This window comes from Homo sapiens, chromosome 12, assembly GCF_000001405.40.
Source record: "Homo sapiens chromosome 12, GRCh38.p14 Primary Assembly".
NCBI lineage: Eukaryota > Metazoa > Chordata > Mammalia > Primates > Hominidae > Homo > Homo sapiens.
The window spans coordinates 51,398,301-51,420,510 of record NC_000012.12 but is presented as its reverse complement, the minus strand read 5'-3'; the positions used below and the strand labels follow the sequence as shown (position 1 = coordinate 51,420,510).

Genomic DNA, 22,210 nt, shown 5'->3' with positions numbered 1-22,210 from the left:
AGGCACCTTACGTATATGATCCTTAAATATCCTGAAAGACATTGAGATTCTTCTATTCAGAGACAGACACAAATATAAGAAACGCAAAAAGTCTGAGAAAATGTTCTTAAATAATTTGCAACCAGTTTTTTCATCAAAAGCATCTTAACTCCTCCATCAGTTTACTCTGTCTCTTGTTCTATGTGAACTGTCCAAAGAGCCACCAGGGCCGGGGTCTTAGGCTTTACTTGCAATTAAATAGGTCCCAATTTCCAGCTGTGTCTTATACCTGATTTTTATTTCTCCACTTTCCTCTTACTTACACATCTAAACCCAAGATGTGGTTGGAGGAAAAGACGTCGGGATCTGAGGAAAGACTTAATTAGGGCTTGTTCGTGCTGTCGTCTGGGAGCATTTCCTGTGGAAGGGAGGGGCGAGAGGGGGAGTGAGAGAGATTCTTTGTCAAGCTGAAAAGGTTATGCAGGTGCATGATTTGCTTTCAGCCCTTGCCAAGTCACAGCATATTGAAAGAGACTACAGAATACAATTTTCATTGTTCACAGCATGCTGCCAGCATGGAACACTACACATCCCAGGGAAGAGTCTGAGGCGCCACAAAAGCTGAGAGCCAAGCTCCTGGCTGTGAAAATCGCTCCCCACTATTCGTCATCATCAACATCATCCACAGAACTTCGTTACACCACACTCAGTTACACTTTGCTCCAAACTGAGAGAGGCTCTGGGGCAGAATTCAAGTGAAATGGCAAAACCTGACTTCTGCCTTCTTTGATATCACTATTAAGATATTTGGACAGAGGCAGAGGTAGGGGAAGGGACCTCTAGAGGGAGCAGAACAAAACAGAAAAGCTGGCTGTAAAAAAAACGGTTGTCATCCGCAAGTCAAGAATAGGCCCTGGAGGAGAAAAGCTGTAGGACTTCCAGATTCAGATGGGAAGCCATTCAGAAATTTGAAAGCAGCAGGTGTTAACCAAGGACTACTTGCCAAGTCCTTGATACAAGAGCTGAACACATTCATAGTCAATACATTTATCTTATCCATGTCTAACCAAACCTAACCCTGCTTATAAATCAGGTCTATTTAAAGTGATTTCACTCCACATCTTATCTATTTAGGGATAAGACCTCCTGAGCTTTTTATACTAAGTATTATACTAAGTAGGGAAGTTCTTATTTCACTTTTAGCCCATAGGCCTGGGACAGCTTTAAGGTGGCAGCAAATTCAATACCCGACATTTGTAATCACTGCTATCTCATTTATCTTCAATGGATTGGTAAATGTACATAGAACATTTGAAGTCTAGGAAGTGGAAATGTAGCTAGGTATAGGGACTTGCCCAGGGCAGTTAATAGCAGAGCTGGGTCAAGAACTACTAATGCTTTCTACTTAATTGTATGGCTTCCTAGAAATATAATTCCATTCAGCCATTTCCTGCATAAAATTGAATTGGCTTCAATGAAACAATGAAAATGTGAATCTTCTTTAGAACTGACATTAACCCCTCCCCCACCAGCAAAAGCCCAGGGTTTCTCCTCTGTTTAGCCTTTCCCATAAGATGGGAGTTTTCACATAATTTCCGCTTTGGAAAGCTTGTCAGTGACACCCATTCATTAGTTTACTGAAAAAACTCCCATGGAGTTCTGAAAATAACTATTACTGAAGCACATTATCTGACATAGATATAAATTCAATCCAAGCTACTCTTACTTCCAGTGATATTTCCCCTGAGGCCTTTTATTTTGCAGTTATATATATATTTTAAAAAAGATACCCAGTCAGACATTAGGACTGGGGCAAAAAGGAATAGAGATAGAATGCGAATTTATTTCACTTATCTTTTTTCTATCTCTAACATTTTACCAAATTGAAAGGGCCGGCCCCCTCCTTAAAGAAGGCAGAGTTCTTTAGCCCTTTCTACAAACCAACAGAAAATATAAGAAAGAGTATTTGCTAGATTTACCAAAAACCAGAGCTATGAGATGGTTAGCCAACAAATAGCAGAGGAAAAAATACAATCTTAAAACACATGTAAGGATAATCAGCTTTGTTTGGGGTAGACAAAATGGACTAGAGCCATTATAATTAGACTATAACTTGTATATTGTTTTGGGTCTCTCCGGAACTTGTCCCTGCCCCCTAAGAATTCTTGGAAGAAACTTAAATGTCCTATAGACCAGTTCCTATCCAACACAATTCCCCTCCACTCCATCCCAGAGAAGGAGCCATCTGATTTTCCCTGGATATCTCTAGTCACAGAGTACTCACCATCGAATGAGGCTGGCAGCCCCATTCCAGGTTCAATTTGCCTCCTTGAAACTTTCACTCTTCATTCCAAATGCTCTCCTCTGTAACTCCAAAGGCAAAGTCTGCTCACTCTTCTACATGACAGCCCTTCAAATTCTTGTAGCCCATTATGATCTCTTCCCTCGTTCTTATCTTTCTGAGACAGGGCATGATCAGGATAGGATTACTGTCTCCAGTAAACCACTTGCACCCTTATAATTCCAGACTGCCAGGAGTCTGGAATTTAGCAATGGAATGCACAGTTTAAAAAGACTTACAGCCAGATATGGTGGCTCACGCCTCTAATCCCAGCACTTTGGGAGGCCAAGGCGGGCAGATCACCTGAGGTCAGGAGTTAGAGATCAGCTTGGCCAACGTGGCAAAACCCTGTCTCTACTAAAAATACAAAAATTAGGCCGGGTGCAGTGGCTCACGCCTGTAATCCCAGCACTTTGGGAGGCTGAGGTGGGCAGATCACGAGGTCAGGAGTTCGAGACCAGCCTGGCCAACATAGTGAAACCCCGTCTCTACTAAAAATACAAAAATTAGCTGGGTGTGGTGGCGCATGCCTGTAGTCCCAGCCACTCGGGAGGCTGAGGCAGGAGAATCGCTTGAACCCGGGAGGTGGAGGCTGCAGCGAGCCAAGATCGCCCCACTGCACACCAGTCTGGGCGACAGTGTGAGACTTCGTCTCAAAAAAAAAAAAAATACAAAAATTAGCTGGGCATGGTGGCGCATGCCTGTAATCCCAGCTACTCGGGAGGCTGACGTGGGAGAATCGCTTGAACCCAGGAGGCAGAGGTTCCAGTGAGCCAAGATCATGCCATTGCACTCCAACCTGGGCAACAGAGCAAGACTCCATCTCAAAAAAAAAAAAAATTCAAAAACTAGCCAGCCGTGGTGTTGCACACTTGTAGTCTCAGCTACTCAGAAGGCTGAGGCAGGAGGGTCACTTGAGCAAGGGAGGTCGAGGCTGCAGCGAGCTGTGATCGTGCCACTGCACTGGGTGACAAAGGGAGACCCTGTCTCAAATATAAAAAAATGAAAAGACTTACACCATGGTTAATTTTCATGTGTGATGATGGTAATGTGGTTATGTAGAAGACAATTCTTTCTCTTTTTTTTTTTGAGACAGGGGGTCTCACTCTGTCGTCCAAGTTGATAAGATCTTGCCTCAAACTCCTGGATGCAAGTGATCCTCCCACCTCAGCCTCCTGAGTAGCTGACACTACAGGCACACTCGTGGCCAGCTAACTTTTGTATTTTTTGTAGAGACAGGATTTCACCATGTTACCCAGGCTGGTTTTGAACTCCTGAGCTCAAGCAATCCACCCACCTTGGCCTCCCAATGTGCTGGGATTATAGGCATGAGCAGTTCTTACTCTTAGGAGATGCATGCTGCAGTGTTAAGGTAGAGTACCATGATGTCTACAACTTACTTTTGAATGATACAGCACTACAGATACAGAAACAGATAGATATGCCTAGATAGCTATATAAGGAGAAATAAAGCAAATATGACAAAATGTTAACAATTGTGGAAGCTTTACAGATGTTCATTGTCCTTGTTTTGTTTTGTTTTGTTTTGAGACAGAGTCTCACTCTGTCACTCAGGCTGGAGTGCAGCGGCACTATTTTGGCTCACCACAACATCTGCCTCCTGGGTTCAAGTGATTCTCGTACCTCAGCCTCCCGAGTAGCTGAAATTACAAGCGTACGCCACCACACCCAGATAATTTTTGTATTTTTAGTAGAGATGGGGTTTCACCTTGTTGACCAGGCTGGTCTCAAACTCCTGGCTTCAAGCAATCTGCCTGTCACGTCCTCCCAAAGTGCTGGGATTACAGGCAAGAGCCGCCGTGCCCAGCCTATTGTCCTTATGTTTTAGCATCTCTTTGTTTCAAAATTTTCACAATTAAAAGTTGGGAAATAAAGGGCCAGAAAAGGTGGGAGAGAATGAAAGTGAAATAGAGACATTTTCAAAAACACAAATTCTCAAAAAAAAAAAAAAAAAAAAACAAAAGACCTCCATCAAACAGGCAAATTCCCCAGGCCAGTGGGTACTAATTAGGACAGCTCTAGTCCTAAGCTGGCAAAATGCCAAAGGTACAGATTATTCCCAGCCTATGAATCATGGCTAAAGCAAGGTAACTCAGAAAGTTTGAAAGATAAAAGAATGAGCAAAGGTATACCAAGTAAATTTAAAAAAAAGGAAGAGAGTAGAGGTCGTACTCTTACCTTTTGGTAATAGTGATTTCAAGGGGAAAATTATTAAACTAGACAAATATAGGCACTATATTATTATATTTAATTTTATTTTAGATTCGGGGGTACATTTGCATATTTTTTATGTGGTTATATTGTGTAATGCTGGGGACTGGGCATCTAGTAGGCCCATTACCCAACTGGTGAACACTGTACCTGATAGGTAAATTTTCAATGCTCGCCTCCCTCCCACTCTCTCCCCTTTTGGAGTCCCCAGTGTCTGTAATTTCCATATTTGTGTCCAAGATAGGCACTTTATAACAATAAAGGTTTACATTACAATGAAGATATAATAAATATCTGAGTAAACAAATAACATAGCAACAAAGATATAAAACAAAGTTTACTGGACATACAAGAAAGAATCAACACACATTATTCTGAGAAGAGCTTATTTTACCTCTGTCAGCCTGTGACAGAGCAAGACAAAACATAAGTAAAGCTCACAATTGGAAAACCTAGAGGAAATGGATAAATTCCTGAACACCTACCACCTACCAAGATTGAACCGGGAAGACACAGAACACCTGAACAGAGCAGTAACAGATACCAGGATTGAATCAGTAATAAAATATCTCCCAACAAAGAAAAACCCAGAACTGGATAGCTTTCCTGCTGAATTCTATCAAACACTTAAGAAGAACTAACATCAGTTCTTCTCAAACTATTCCAAAAAATCAAAGAGCAGGGAATTCTCTCTAACTCATTCCATGAGGCCAGCATTACTGTGATATCAAAATTAGGTTGGTGCAAAAGTAATTGCGGTATTTGACTTTTTTTTTTTCCAATGGTAAAAACCACAATTACTTTTGCACCAACCTAATAGACAAGGATATAACAACAACAAAAAAGAAAACTACAGGCCAATATTCCTGATGAATATACAGGCAAAAAACCCTCAACAAAATCAAACCAAGTCCAACAGCACATCAAGAAGATACTGCATCATAATCAAGTGGGATTTATCGCAGGGATGCAAGAATGGCTGAACATATGCAAATCAATATACATCACATTAACAGAATGAAGGACCAAAAACCATATGATTATTTCCATAGATGCTAAAACGGCATTTGGTAAAATCCAACATTCTTTCATGATAAAAGCTCTCAACATATTAGGCATAAAAGAAACATACCTCCATATAATAAAGGCCCACATGTAATAAATCCACACCTAATATACTGAATGAGGAAAAGCTGAAAGCCTTTTCTCTAAGAACTAGAATAAGACAAGGATGTCCACTTTCACCACTATTTTTTTGAGGTAGTATCTCACTCTGTCACTCAGGTGAGAGTACAGTGGCACAATCACAACTCATTGCAACCTCAACCTCCCAGACTTAAGTGATCTTCCCACCTCGTTTTATGATTTTTTGTAGAGACGAGATCTCACTATGTTGCCCAGGCTGGTCTCAAACTCCTGGGCTCAAGTGATCCTCCTGCCTAGGCTTCCCAAAATGCCAGGATTACATGTGTAAGCCACTACATCCGGCCCACTCTTATTCAAAATAATACTGTACGTCCTAGCCAGAGCAATCAGGCAAGAGAAACAAATAAAAGGCATTCAGATTAAAGAGGATGTCAAACTTTCGCTCTTTGCAGATGACATGAACTTATATATAGAAAAACCTAAGGACTCCACCAAAAAACTCTTAGAACTGACCAACGAAGTCAGTAAAATTGCAGTATACAAGGTAAACCTATAAAAATCAACAGCATTTCTATATGCCAATAATGAACTAGCTGGGAAAAAAAAGCAAAGAAAGCAATCCCACTTACAATAGCTACAAAAAAAAAAAAGACCCAGGAATAAATTTAACCAAGGAGGTAAGAGATCTCTGCAAGAAAACTACAAAACACTGATGAAAGAAATTGAAGAGGGCACAAGCAAACAGAAAGACATCTCCTGCTCATGGATGGGAAGAATTAATATTGTTAAAATGACCATACTACCCAAAACAATATACAGATTCAATGCAGTCCCTATAAAAATACCAAAGACATTCGTCACAGAAATAGAAAAAATAATCGTAAAATTTGTCTGAAACCAAAAAAGATCCCAAATAGCCAAAGCAATCCTGAGCAAAAAGAAGAAAGTTGAAGGCATCACACTACCTGACTTTAAAATATACCACAGAGCTAGAATAAGCAAAACCAGCATGGTATCGATATAAAAACAGACACACAGACCAACGAAACAGAATAGAGAACCCAGAAATAAATCCACATATTTACAGCCAACTGACTGATTTTCAACAAAGGCATGAAGAACATGCACTGGGGAAAGGACACCCTCTTCAATAAATGGTGCTGGGAAAACTGGCTATCCATACGCAGAAGAATGAAACTGGACCCTATCTTTTACCATATACAAAAATTAACTCAACATGAATTAAAGGCTTAAATGTAAGACCAGGAACTATAAATACTACTAGAAGAAAACATACAGGAAATGCTGCAGGACATGGATCTAGGCAAAATATTTCATGGCTAAGACTTCAAAAGCATAGGCAACAAAAACAAAAATAGACAAATGGGACTATATTAAAGTAAAAAGCTCTTTCACTGCAAAGGAAACAATCAACAGAGTAAAGAGACAACCTGTAGAATGAGAGAAATTATTTGCAAACTATTCATCCAACAAGGAATTAATATCCAGAATATATAAAGAACTCAACAGCAAAATATAAAACAAATAATCCCATGAAAAAATGGACAAAGGATCTGAGTAGATATTTCTCAAAAGAAGACATAGAAATGGCCAACAGGTATATGAAAAAAATGCTCAATATCACTAACTGTTAGGGAAATGCAAATAAAAACCACAATGACATATCATCTCACCCCAGCCAGGATGGCTATTAACAAAAAGACAAAAAAACACGAATGTTGGTGAGGATGCAGGGAAAAGGGAACTCTTATAAACTGATAGTAACAATGTGTATTATTACAGACATTATGGAAAACAGTATGGAGGTTCCTTAAAAAACTAAAAATAGAACTACCATGTGATCCAGCAATCTGATCACTGGGTATTTATCCAAAGGAAAGGAAATCAGTATATCAAAGGGATACTTGCATCTCCATGCACTGTTCACAATAGCCAAGATATGGAATCAAACTAAGTGTCCATCAATGGATGAATGAATAAGGAAAATGTATTTACACACAACTGAATGCTATTAAGCATAAAAAAAGAATGAATTTCTATTGTTCACAGCAACATGGATGGAACTGGACATCATTATGTTAAGTGAAATAAGCCAGGTACAGAAAGACAAACATCACATGTTCTCACTTATATGGGAGCTTAAAAAAGTTCATATTATGGAAGTAGAGAGCAGTATGATAGTTACCAGAGGCTAGGAAGAGCAGGGGCAGGTGGGGAATGAACAGAGGTTGGTTAATGGACAAAAGCCTACAGTTAGAAGAAATAAGTTCTAGTGTCCAATAGCACAGTAGGGTGACTACAGTTAACAACAATTTATTGTATATTTCAAAATAGCTAGAAGAGAAGATTTGAAATATTTCCAAAACAAAGATATAATAAATGTTCAAGGTAATGGATATCCTAAATACCCTGATTTGATTAATACATACTGTATGCATGTATCAAAATATCACATGTACCCCATAAATATATATAATTATTATGCATCAACTAGAACATTTTTAAAAATAAAGATATACATCCAAGTAACATAATTCATATGATCCAATTGATATATATTAAATTCTATATTTTGGAAACAAAGAATACATCTTTTCAATGGTTCATGGAATATTTATCAAAATTGATTATTAGGCCAAAAAAAAACCCTCAATAATTTTGATAGAGTGAAAGGCATGCTGTTGTCATAAGATAATAAAACTTGAAATCAGTAACAATTTTTCTTTTTTTGAGACAGGATCTCACCCTGTCACTCAGGCTGGAGTATAGTGGCACCATCACAGCTCACTGCAGTGTGGAAGTCCTGGGCTTAAGCGATCCTCCCACCTCAGCCTCCCGAGTAGCTGGAACCACAGGCACATGCCACCACGCCCAGCTAATTTTTGTATTTTTTGTAGAGAAAGGGTTTCAACCTCCTGGGCTCAAGCGATCCTCCGGCTTTGGCCTCCTAAAGCTCTGAGATTACAGGAATGAGCCACCATGCCCAGACAACAATTTTTTTTTTAACTCTACTAAATAGAACTTCTTAAACACTTAAGCAGCTCTTTCAACTGACACTGCAGAAGACTAGAACCAAACATATTTTACAGCTTTAAATAATTACATACATAAATATGAAAATGAAAATAAATGAATTAAGTACCCAACTCAAAAAGTTAGAAAAAGAGCCACAAAATAACTTAAAAAAGACTTGTGTGTGTGTGTGGCAGGGTCTCACTCTCATCATCCAGGCTGGAGTACAATGGCATAATCACCGCTCACTGTAGCCTCAACTTCCTGGGCTCAGGTGATCCTCCTACCTCAGCCTCCTGAGTAGCTGGGACTACAGGTGCACACCACCATACCCTGCTAATTTTTTGTATTTTTAGTAGAGATGGCGTTTTGCTATGTTGCCTAGGCTGGTCTTGAATTCCGGGGCTCAAATAATCCACCCACCTCAGCCTCCCAAAGTGCTGGGATTACAGGTGTGAGCCACTGCACCCAGCCTAAAGAAAGACTTTTTAAAGATAAATGTAGAAATTATTAAATTAGAAAATTGAAAAGCAATAGAGCATCAGAAAAGATTAAAGCATCAACTAACCAAATTATTGCATAGGGAAGGGACAGGGAAGGAGAAAAAGCATAAATGCAAATAATAAGTAATGAGAATAAATAACCTCCATTGATAAAAAAAAATTGCTCAACTCTGTATAAGGAACTGAAATCTCAACAGGTAATTCTGTATTTAAAAAAAAAAAAAAAAAAAACAGATTGGCCAGGAGCAGTGGCTCACACTTGTATTCCCAGCACTTTGGGAGGCTGAGGTGGGATGATGGCTTGAGCCCAGGAGTTTGAGGTTACAGTGAGTTATGATCCTGCCACTGCATTCCAGCCTGGGCGACAAAGTGAGAGCCTGTCTCAAAAAAAAAAAAAAAAGAAAAGAAAAGAAAAGAAAAGAAAGATTGTTCGAAGAGATAGGAAATCCAAACCATGGAGTGTGGGAAGGGGGACAAGAAAGTTTTTTAAGAAATCCCCTCTAATTAAAAAATGATTGGCCAGGCATGGTGACTCACACCTGTAATCCCAACACTTTGGGAGGCCGAGGCAGGTGGATCACCTGAGGTCAGGAGTTTGAGACCAGCCTGGCCAACATGGTGAAACCCCGTCTCTACTAAAAATATAAAAAAATTAGCTGGGCCTGGTGGCGCATACCTGTAATCCCAGCTATTCGGGAGGCTGAGACAGGAGAATTGCTTGAACCAGGGAGGCAGAGATTGCAGTGAGCGAAGATCGCGCCACTGCACTCCAGCCTGGGCAACAAGAGTGAAAACTCCATCTCAAAAAAAAAAAAAGAGATTAATTTCAACACCAGATGCATTCAGGATGACTCTAACCAGAAGAATCAAAGCCAGCATCATACTTGATGGGAAAATAGAGATATATTCCTAGTAAAGTAAAAAACTAGCTAAAGATGCCCAAGAACACTACTGTTACCTGATGGGTGGGGAAGGATTGAATAGGTCAATGTGTAACCGAGTATCTCAGCTTCAAGATGCATTTTAAAACTTTTTTTCTTTAAACTCAAAATATAGCCTTGAAATGTACTTTAAAACTCTTTGTTTTCCTCCCTTTCCCGCCAGGCACTCCCATGCACTGTGCTTGCTTATCTAATTATGTGCTTGCTTAGAAATTCCAGGGACCAATTCTGAAATAAACCAGGCATAGAGGCCCAGCTGCAGAATCCTCCTGCAGGAAGGTTACAAATGATTAGCCCACCACCATCAGGCCAAAGTCAGACTGACGCCAACCAGGCCCCTGGAGGGGCGATTATCAAGATAGCCATCGGAACGAGACATGCAGAACCCGCACCCGACATTTCCACGTATTTCCCATACCACATTTTCCTCTTAAATCCCTTTACTCAGCCCAAAAAGTTGAAATGGTTTTTTTGGAAGAATGAGCCTAGCCATTTCTTCAACTGCTGGTGCTTCACCACACCTCGCCTCATGAGTATTTGGCTTCTCAGGCAGCGAGCAGCCAGACTTACATTTGGTTACAAATGGAACTTGACAACAGAAAAAAATAAAATGTATAAAAATCAGGGGTGCAGTGGTGCACACCTATAGTCCCAGCTACTAGGGAGGCTGAGGCAGGAGGATCCCTTGAGTCCAGGAGTTCAAGGCTGCAGTGCACTATGATTGCACCTATGAATAGCCACTGTGCTCCTGCCTGGGAAACACAGCAAGACCCCATCTCTTTAAAAATATCAAAAAGAAAGAGATTAAATTATATTATTGTAAACCTAGAAAACCTAACAGAATCAACTGAAAACAACTGCAAATAGTAAGAAAATTCAGAGAAGCGAGTGACTAGGCAAAAGAATATTATGCAAAAATCAACAGCTTTCCTATAACACAAAGCACAACTGATTAGATAACAAGATGAGAGAAAAGATTCCTGTTATATTAGCAAGCAAAGAGAAAAGATCTAGCAAACAACAAATAGTGTGCAAGAACTAGAAGAAAAAAAGTCATTAAAATACTACTGAGTAGCACAAAAGACTCTTGAATAGATTGAATAACTGTGTATCTGGTAGGAAAAACTCAATTTTATTAAAGATGTTAGCCAGGTGTAGTGGTGTGTACCTGTAGTCCCAGCTACTTGGTAGGCTGAGACGGGAGGATTGCTTGAGTTGGGGAGGGCAAAGCTGCAGTCAGTCATGATTGTGCCACTGCACTCAGCCTGGGCAACAGAGTGAGATCCTGTCTCAAAAAAAAAAAGTATATATATATGCTAATTCTCCTTTCACTCATCTTTAAATTTCAGGACATTACAATAAAATTATGAACAGGGTTTTTTTAATTAATGGGCAAGCAAAAATATCCAGAATAACTCTGAAAAACAAAAACAAGACTGGGTACCTAGTCAGATGCATTCCCCGCTCCTTCTCTGTTCTAAAAGGAAAATGCTCTGGAGTGCGCATCACACTGGCAGTTTCCTTTTCTTGAGGAACAGCAGGGAAGAGGCCCAGCAATGGCTCCCTTGACAGGGACTCCACTCCACCCTTCCCTCCAGATGCAACATCACTCTGTGTGGCTCCAGCAGAGCCCCAGTTCCCCTCAGCCATACTCCTGGGCAGCCTCGGGTCACCAAGCAGAAAGAGGTGAACACCATGCTCCTGCGCTGTCGCCCCTGAGCAGCACCTCCAAATACTGGGAGCACTGGTCTTTGCCATCTCAAAGCTCCACCACCACATCTCTCAGAAAACCCATTATAGGCCGGGCGCAGTGTCTCACGTCTGTAATCCCAGCACTTTCGGAAGCCAAGGTGGGTGGATCACCTGAGGTCTGGAGTTCGAGACCAGCCTGGCCAGCATGGAGAAACCCCATCGCTACTAAAAAAAAAAATACAAAAAATTAGCTGGGTATGGTGGCACGCGCCTGTAATCCTAGCTACTCTGGAGGCCGAGACATGAGAGTCACTTGAACCCAGGGGACGGAGGTTGCAGTAAGCCAAGATCGTGCCACTGCACTCCAGCCTGGATGACAGAGTGAGACTCTGCCTCAAAAACAAACAAACAAAACCCATTATAGATTGAATTGTGTCCCCCAGAAAAGGATATGGTGAAGTCCTAACCCCTAGCCCCCAGTACCTAAGAATATAACCTTATTTGGAAATAGGGTCCTTGCAGGTGTAATCAGTTAAGATGAGGTCATACTGGAGTAGGGTGGGCTCCTAATCCAATATGACTGGTGTCCTTATAGGGAAGCAGACATGTGAAGACACAGTGCGACAGGGAAAACACCATATGAGGATGGAGAATTGGAGTGCTGCCTGCACAGGCCAAGGAACACAAAAAATTGCCAGCCAGCCACCAGGCGCCAGGAAGAGGTAAGGAAGGATTACCATACAGACCTCACAGGGAGCATGGCCTTGTAGATTTCTTCAGCACTGTGAGACAATAAACATGCTTGGAGCCACCCAGTTTGTGGTACTTTGTTATAGCAGCCCTAGGGAACGAATACAGATGCCTATGGTCAGAATGTGTGCACGTCCCACACCAGGGCAGGCAGCTGAGCACCCAGTGGAAGTGGTCTGGTGGAAAAACCAAGAGTTTATGCAGGCAATTTTGAGCAATTCAGTTAGGGGCATACTTCCTGGAGAGCAAGGAGCCTATGCTTTAGAGACACACCCCGCTATGGTTTGAATGTGTCTCTTCAAAATTATATTGAAATCTATGTTGAAGCCGGGCACGGTGGCTCACACCTATGATTCCAGCTCTTTGGGAGGCCAAGGTGGGCAGATTACTTGAGCCCAGGAGTTTCAGACCAGCCTTGGCAACATAGGGAGGTCTCATTTCTACCAAAAAAAAAAAAAATTTTTTTTATAATTAGCCAGGTATGGTGATGCATGCCTGTAGTGCCAGCTACTTGGGAGGCTCAGGCAGGATTGCTTGAGCCTAAGAGTTCCAGGCTACAGCGAGCTATGATTGTGCCACTGAACTCCAGCCTGGGCAACAGAGCAAAACTTCATCTCTAAAAAACGAAAAAGCAAGCAAGCAATTTATATTGAAATTTAATCTCTAATGCAACAGTATTAGTGGTAGGCCTTTAGAAGATGATTAGGCCATGAGGGCTCCTCCCGTCAGTCAGGTTGCCCTTCTGCCTCCCTCCATGCCGGGACACAGCAACAAGGCACCATCTTGGAAGAGGAGAGCAGCCCTCACCAGACACCAAACCTGCCAGCACCCTCATCTTGGACTTAGCCTCCAGACTGAGAAATAGATTTCTGTTGTTTATCAATTATCCCGTCTCAGGTATTTTGTTATAGCAGCCCAAATGGAGTAAGACATACCCCCAGGATAAGATATCACTCCAGTATCCACTTCCTTTCACAGGCCTCAAACGTTGCCCGGCTTCTGCAGGGAGAACTGCCTGGCCTAGCCTGGCTCCTCCTCATTAGCTGCAGTCCCCTGCTGCAATGAGCCCTGCCAGCCAGCGCCAAGTTCCCCTCAACACTAGTAACCTCAAGGATCTGGGGGAGAGGGTGAAGCCTCAGAGGGCCACAGACCTGATATTGCTGCACGTGGGGCCTGGAGCACTAAATTATGAGGACTAACAGGGGCATGTTATTTGCTCCCCAAATTGTGGGGGCCACCAACGTCACACAAATGCCCTTCACTCTATTTGCATCTCTCCCACTTACCTACCTGGCAAACTTCTACTCGTTCATTACAAACCAGGTCATGTCACCTCTTCTAAATCCTTCTGAAGCAGCAGGTGAAGTTAACCACTCCCCTCTTCATGCCACCACCGGGCCTCCTACACACACCCCTCTGTTACACATTCATATCACATTCTAGAGTAACTGTGCCAGGGACTGGAAGCTCCTTACAGATAGGGACCAGGTCTTTCTTGTCTGACTCCCTAGTACCTAACACTCTACCCCACATCAATAATGCTTTATGGCTTCCACATTGCTTTCAAATGCATTAACCTTTCCAACTGTGAATAGACTTAGAATGTTATTTATACCAGGCCAAAATCTCTCCCTCGGGATAATTTTATTTGCAGTTGGTGATCTCCCTCATTAGACAAAAAGTTCCTGAGAGTGAAAGACTAGCTCTTTTCCCTCTCTGGTCCTAACCCCACTTACGCAGAAGTAAATGCAACTACAGCTGCTGCTACCGCTGCCTCTGCCACTGTGGCTACCACCACACTTGCTACTGTTGGGATACTCTCAAGGAAATGCCCTGATAACCCCATTACATCACCTCTCTGGTGTGTTTGTCTTATATATCTCCAGGGAACCAGACAGTCCAATTTGTTTAATGCCACATGATCTGCTGCACTCACACCCTATTTTATGGCCTTAATTTAATTTATTATAGGCATCATGACATGGCTCTGTTTTTCTGAAAAACAAGTCACCTCTTACGTGTGGTATTTGATGATCATCACTCTCCTAGTTGACAAAGGCTGGAACTTTTTACATCTCTTTTCTAGTAATAGATAATATTTCTTCCTGGAATGAATCGAAAACCTTAATAATGTTCATAACCTTTGACCTGGTACATTTCATTCTAGAAGTTTATCCTAAGAAAATGGCCACGGGGCCCTGCAGGCATGGTAGCTCACGCTTGTAATCCCAGCACTTTGGAAGGCCCAGGTGGGAGGATTGCTTGAGGCCAGGAGTTTGAGACCAGCCTGGGAAACATAGCAAGACCCTGTCTCTACAAAGAAAAGAAAAAGAAAGAAAATGGCCATAGATGAACATAAAGGGGGTTTACAGCGGTATTATTTATATATAATGGTGGAGACCCCCACTGGGGAATTTGGGTGCAACCTCTTCAAAGCAAACATGAGGGACATGGTTAGGCACAGAACATCAACAGGCTTGAGCCTAATGGTGTAATGAAGCAGAGAAATGGTGACCTCTCCAGTGCTCAGAGGGAATGAGGTACAGTATGTCCTGAAGCGCTTGGAATAGGCCAGACACTAACCAGCCTCTTGCCTCTCTATTCTTGGGATCACCTTCTCTCCCAGGGGGAAGGCTTCCAGTTTCCTGGTCTTCCAAGATCTCCAAGACCTGCCTAGAAACTGGATGGTTCAAGGGCATCTCATAGAATAAAGCCCACAAGGATGGGTGGTCCATCCCTTCCAATCCAATGTGTTCCCACCTCCCCACTGTGAGTCACCACCCAACTCCCTTTCTCTGCTCCCTGGAGAGTCAGAAGCATCATTTCCTAAGCTTTTCTTGGCAGTTTCTCTCTGCTTCTTCCCTGCCAGACCTGGATTTTCATGAACATAGACAGCCCTTTTACCTCAAGCCTTTTCACGCCCTTATAGCAATAACTTAATCCAGTGCATCATATTATTTATTGATCAGATTCTTTTGGTTGAAAGTGACAAAAACACACTCAAACAAATTTCAATCAAAACAAGAAAAAAATAAGGAAAGAAAAAGAGACAAAAGAAAAGGGAAGAAAGAAAGCAGGGAAGGGAGGAGAAAGCAAAGAAAGTGGAAGAAAGGAGAAGTCTAGGAATAAATGACTTCAGATACAGCAGGACCCAGGAGTCCAAAAGATATCACTGGAGTCCTCTCATTCTTTATCTTTCTCTGCTTTCTCAGCGTTGGCTTCACGGTCAAGTTGACTCTCCTGCCTCATGTAATAGCAAAGATGATCACTAGCCACCCTAAACATACATAACTTCCCATCTAATGATTCCATCAGTGGTCATGTGGGGATGGAGGAGAAAAGACGGGGGGAGGAGTTCATCTTTTTTGCTTGCCCTAAGAAATGTCTCAGAGAAAGCTCTGAGTGGCCTGGCTTGGGTAACATGCCTAACCCTAAACCAATCACTGTGGCTACAAGATTTAAGATTCACCTGGCTGGCGCTAGGGAGTGAGGAGGGCCTCATCTGAATTTCATGGACTAAGAATCAAAGGAAGGTAGTTCCCTAAAAGATGCTAAAGGAAAAAGCAGGTTCTTTGTACTTGACTGCCCCATCCCAATCTCTGCCTCTCCTTGTACATAGTCAACCTCCCCAGCCTCTCTTGCATTTGGTCAGGAGTCAACTTCCACAGACTGACAATTTTATGCTCACCAGGCAGCCCAGGGTTCCAAAGCCATCTAACCCCTTCATGTAGCTCCCGATGTCCTATTTGCGTCTGCTTTTGTGTTGCAGCAAGCAGCAACAGTGGCCACACGGAAGAGTCTTATGATTTGCTCACAAGTCTGACTTCACCCTGAGTGAAGCCTACTTCCCTTGTCTACCCTAAGGCAGAGATCACTGTGCCAGGCCCCAAGCAGAAATGGGAACTCCAGGGCCCTGCAGCCACTGCCACCACCTGTGGTTGTGCAACTTTTGTGCCTTGCACACACTTAGCTTGTCAAGCAAGCATCCTAATGTATAGCTTTGCATCTGCCCAACAGAAAGGATGCCTTTTAGCAATGCTAGCAACCGCCCTGCCTACGGCAAAAGTACAGATAAGGAATGATTGCCCCAAGGCTGACATGGGAAGAATCTCAATGCTTAGACTTTAGACCTGGGTGACATGGCTTGATTAACAGAATTATTGCCGGGTGTTAAATAAAATAGGTGTTCTTATTCCTTCTGGGTGCCATGTGGCTGGGGTATAAAGGCAGTGAACCTGCCGTTATCTGCTGCTCCAGTCTGGCAAACATCTTTCTCCCCCACTGAATGGTAACATCGGCAGACTCTGAGGGGTGCTTCTTTGGGAGTTGACACAAGAGGCCATGGGAAGCAGCAGCCACCCACCTAAATGTACCCTTGTTTCATTTCTATCCTGTGCACTGCTTTCAGCTGCTTTGGGAGTAAACCTAAAACGAAAGAACTTTGAGCAGGATCCAAGCGGCCATTCTTGCCCACCCTCAAACCCAGGCCAAATTTCATGATTCAGCCAAGCTCATCAACAGGCTGTCATGGCTCCTGCCCAAACTCTGGAAATGAGTAAGTAACGCTTTCTGGTGGAGTAACAGGCACATATCAAGAAACTCACATGTTGGCTCCACTGATCCTTCTGTTCAGGCTTGAGTGGCCCCAACTCAGTAAAGTTTAGGTATCCTGGGTCTCCCCGGCGGTAGCGAGGAGTGCTTCTGAGTTTGTTGCTGTTGTTCTTGTTGAACATAGAGCATTTATTATGTTCTGAGCACTGTTCTGAGCAGTTTATACCTATTACCTAATCTAAATTTCACAACAGACTCTATATAATTGTCCTTTAAAAAAAAATGAAAACAGGCTAAACAACTTACCCATGACTACAGAACTGCCAGCTAACTGGGGGACTTCATGCAGTCATTCTCAGAGTCTCTCCTTTCACTGGGGGGGATTCTATCAGGGACCCCCAGTCCCATACTGAGACATGCCTCTCCCATAGCATCTGGCCATGGGATAACGCTGTGAAGAACAGGATAAGTGACAAGCACCCCCAGAAGACACCCGTCTTTGCCCATCACTGGCAAGGAGAGTGGAATCACCATATGGTGCTTAGATTAATTGCAAAGGGACAAATAAATGCCTAGGAGTCAACTACCCTGACCACTTTAGCTTTCATTTTTTATTTTTTGAGATGGAGTTTCACTCTTGTACCCCAGGTTGGAGTGCAATGGCGCGGTCTCGGCTCACTGCAACCTCCACCTCCCAGGTTCAAAAGATTCTCCTGCCTCAGTCTCCCAGGTAGCTGGGATTACAGGTACACGCCACTACACCCAGGTAATTTTTGCATTTTTAGTAGGGACGGGGTTTCACCATGTTGGCCAGGCTGGTCCCAAACTCCCGACCTCAGGTGATCCACGCACCTTAGCCTCCCAAAGTGTTGAGATTACAGGCGTGAGCTACTGTGCCAGGCCTCACTTTAGCCTTTAAATTTAGCACCTGTGAGTTTATCGGGGTAGCAAATGCCAGGACAGGATAACACCATAGAGAGCCCATCAGCACAGCAGGGCTTCTTCTCCCTCTATTCTTGAAGCATTCTAGCTTTGCACCCCTTAAGTCACTCAATTGTTTGGCAAACCTGGAATGGTTTCCCTTCAACAACAGCTGAATCCCAGGATATTCCAAGTCTTGATGATTAGGGAGTGAAGCCAATATCTTTTCAAAGTCTGAGCTCACCCCCTGTTGTAACCATATATGCCTGTCAAATCTTACTCTAGTCTTGCATAACACACATATATCAAGGCATCACTTCAGGTCTGTTTCTCCTGGTGGTTAAGATACGAAGGGGCCAGACACTGTGGCTCATGCCTGTAATTCCAGCACTTTGGGAGGCTGAAGGAGGAGGATCACTTAAGCTCAGATGTTTGAGACCAGCCTGGGCAACATAGGGAGATCCCATCTCTACAAAAAAAAATAGAAAAATTAGCTGGGTGTGGTTGCACATGTCTGTACTCCCAGCTACTCAGGGGGCTGAGGTGGGAGGATTGCTTGAGCCTGGGGAGGCTGAGGCTGCATTGAAGAGTTGATATGGGAGTGGGGCAGGGAAGTGCTGGGAAGGGAAGGGGGTGGTCCCTGGCTAGGGCTGCACCCCCAGGCCTGTGCCCAGGGACCTAGGTGAGGACAGGCATTTCTGTTTTCATGCCCAAACGTTGCATTTCCCAAGACCACCGTGGCCCACCACAGTCCTATCCTGTGCCTATAAAAACCCCGAGACCCGAGCGGGCAGAGACACAAGCGGCTGGACGTCAAGAGGAACAGATCAGTAGAGGAACGCACAGGCAGCTGGACATCGAGAGGAATACACTGGTGGAAGAGCATACCAACATGCAGTGGCAGATGCCAGCACGCTGGCACGCCATCGGCCCACGGAAAGACATAGAGTTTGCCTGGGGCAGTCAGAGGAGAGCCCAGCTGCTGAGCGGCCCAACTCAGGGGAAAACCACCTTTCCACTCCATCTCCCTTCTGGCTCCCCTATCTACTGAGAGCTACTTAAAATCAATAAAACCTTGCACTCATTCTCCAAGCCCACATATGATCTGATTTTTCCGGTACACCAAGGCAAGAACCCGGGATACAGAAAACCTCGCGATAAGGCAGAGGGTCTAATCCAGCTGGTTAGCACAGCCGCCTACAGACGGCAAAATTAAAAGAGCACACGGTAGCACACGCCCACTGGGGCTAGGAGCTGTAAACACTAACTGGCGACAGAGGAACGCTCCGTCTCAAACAAACAAAAGAAAAACATGTTGGCACTGTCCAAAGGTAGACGCTGCCGTGGGATCTGAACCCCACAACCTGCCCATCTGTATGTTCCATAGAGATTTCAGCAGCCGGGCCCTAAAGAAGCGAGCCACTCCCCTTGTTGCACTCCCTGTGAGGGGGACAAGGGAACCTTTCCCGTTTCACCGTGACGGTGCCACTGCACTCCAGCCTGGGCAACAGAGTGAGACCCTGTTTAAAAATATATATATATGTATATACATATATATGTTTATATACGTATATAAACATATATGTTTATATACGTATATAAACATATATGTTTATATATGTGTGTGTGTGTGTGTATGTATGTATATATATATATATATATATATATATATATATATATATATATATATATATAAAGGAGTTCATTCACACTCCTCTCAAGTACCGTTGGAAAAAAGTTATGTCATATAAACAAACTAGACAATCTATACCCCAGTCACCTTTTCCATTGAGTGGTTAAAGGATTCACAGACCCCTGAGGTGTTCTAGGGTATCCCATCAAACTGATATAACTCTATGGGCAACTGAGAGTGTGTTTTGTGTTTTTTGTTTTTTCCTCACTAACCATGGTTTTTTTTCTTAGTACCACTCCTCCCCAAACAACAGCATCAAATACCACCAACTCCCTGCCTGGCAGTGGGTCCCAACTCTGAGAAAACCTATACACATCTATACACATTACAATTGTACGTGACTATTTTGCCCACTACCACAGTGGGGGATTTAAAGGTCTTCGATGATAGTAGCTCTTCAAAGAGTTTCTGTAAATTCCTGATTTCAAACAATAAAATCTATTTTAATCTGCCCTCAGCAAACATAACTTACATTCCATTCATGGAGAAAGAAAAGGTTATTCTACTTTAGGGCTTCCTTTGCAGTCTTTCCTCCTGATCTCTGGGTGGTTAGAAATCCTTGAGATCAAAGGCCTCTGGATTTATCTGCAGGTCCAGGTGGAACAAACCCAGGAGAGGGCCAAGGGGCAGTGCTTGGGTCTGCATGGCCTCTGCCCACTCCACCCACCACACCCAGGAGGAGGGACCACTTCGTACCTCTGTGCTACCTTTGGACAGTGCCAACATGGTTTTTTTTTTTTTTTTTTTTGAGACGAAGTGTTGCTCTGTCACCAGACTGGAGTGCAGTCACGCAATCTCAGCTCACTGCAACCTCCACCTCCCAGGTTCAAGCGATTCCCCTGCCTCAGCCTACCAAGTAGCTGGGATTATAGGAACGCATCACCATGCCCAGCTAATTTTTTGTATTTTAGTAGAGACAGCGTTTCACCATGTTGGCCAAGATGATCTCAATCTCCTGACCTCGTGATCTGCCTGCCTCAGCCTTCCAAAGAGCTGGGATTACAAGCGTGAGCCACCACGCCTGGCCCAACATGTTTTAAAGGCTAGATTTAAGATCAGACAGCTGGAAGAGTCAGGATTCAACCCAGGTCTCACTCCAAAACTGTTTTCACTTTGCCAAAATTGAATGCTGCTGATATGTCCGTCTACCTAGAAAATCAAGAGAATCCTCTGGAAATCTATCAGAGCCACAAAGAGAGCTCAGTAAGAGGACTACTTTTAAAATAACTTTAACCATTATGGGCAATGTAATAAAAAAAAAATTAAGAAGCTGCTATTTAAAGTACTTGCCAAAATCAGGGTGACTCCTCTGAACTATGTTTCTAGAAAGAATCAAAAGAAATCAGTAACAGTGGCTGCCTTTGGGGAGGAAAACTAGGTGACTGCAGATGGGAGAAGGAGGGAGACTCCCTCTTCACTATACTTTTGAGCTTTAGATTTTTTTTGCCATATGCACATATCACCTATTGAAAATAAGTAAATAAGATTCCACGGGAATTAATAAACAATGAGGCAAACATTTTAGGATATTAAGAGGACATTAAACATCTGGACTCATCTACCAATGAGTTATTCTATCACCTCTCCTTTACTTACAATCCAAAGTAATATTAATATCAGATAGACTTCAATCCTAATGAAATTTGTGATTTTTCAAATGTCTAAGAAAACAGAAACTTCAGCCAGGTGTGGTGGCTCACGCCTGTAATCCCAGCACTTTGGGAGGCCAAGGAAGGTGGATCACCTGAGATCAGGAGTTCAAGACCAGCCTGACCAACATGGTGAAACCCCATCTCTACAAAAATACAAAAATTAGTTGGGCGTGGTTGCGCACGCCTGTAATCCTAGCTACTCCAGAGGCTGAGACAGGAGAATCGCTTGAACCCGGGAGGCAGAGATTGCAATGAGCCGAGATCAGGCCACTGCACTCCAGACTGCGCGACAGAGCGAGACTCTCTCTCAAAAAAAGAAAAAAAGAAAGAAACAGAAACTTCTCTTTTTTTAGGGGAAGATAACAGGTTTTGCTTTTAGCTGGAGGATTGTTTGCTCTGCGGAGTTAGTTTATAGCCCCTTTTATTACCTCTCTTTGGGCAAAACAACTGTCAGATTGAAATCCAATTAAGATTTCAGAAGGTTAAATGTGCATATGTTTCTTCTTTTAAAGAGAGATATTAAATAAGAAATCATAATTTTGAGCAGAAAAAGCTCTCACAGCAAAATCTTACAAGCATTTGGATGTTTTATTCATTGCAGTTGTGAAATTTCTCTACTGTGAAAGGACAGATCTTGGGCACTTGATTGCTTTTAAGGAGATGATCTTGTGTGATTTAAGTAGAAAGTCCATAGTTACAGTTTGACAACCCCAAGAGAGGAACACTTATTAATTGTATGATATTAGGAGGCTTCGGTTATACAAAAGAAAGACTGA

The 22,210-nt window shown here is 42.9% G+C and overlaps 1 protein-coding gene across 5 annotated transcripts in view, besides 1 other annotated feature; it reads right to left on the bottom strand.

Moving 5' to 3' along the window:
* SLC4A8 (solute carrier family 4 member 8) overlaps positions 1–22,210 on the bottom strand; it is a 124,318-nt gene that overhangs the window by 95,253 nt on the left and 6,855 nt on the right. The window lies entirely within an intron of this gene.
* Positions 259–760: an enhancer, noted in NCBI's record as "NANOG hESC enhancer chr12:51813535-51814036 (GRCh37/hg19 assembly coordinates)". NCBI's record gives its function as "activates a minimal SCP1, AML or CMV promoter by ChIP-STARR-seq in primed H9 embryonic stem cells {active_cell/tissue: H9 hESC(primed)}" and the evidence as "EXISTENCE:reporter gene assay evidence [ECO:0000049][PMID:30033119]".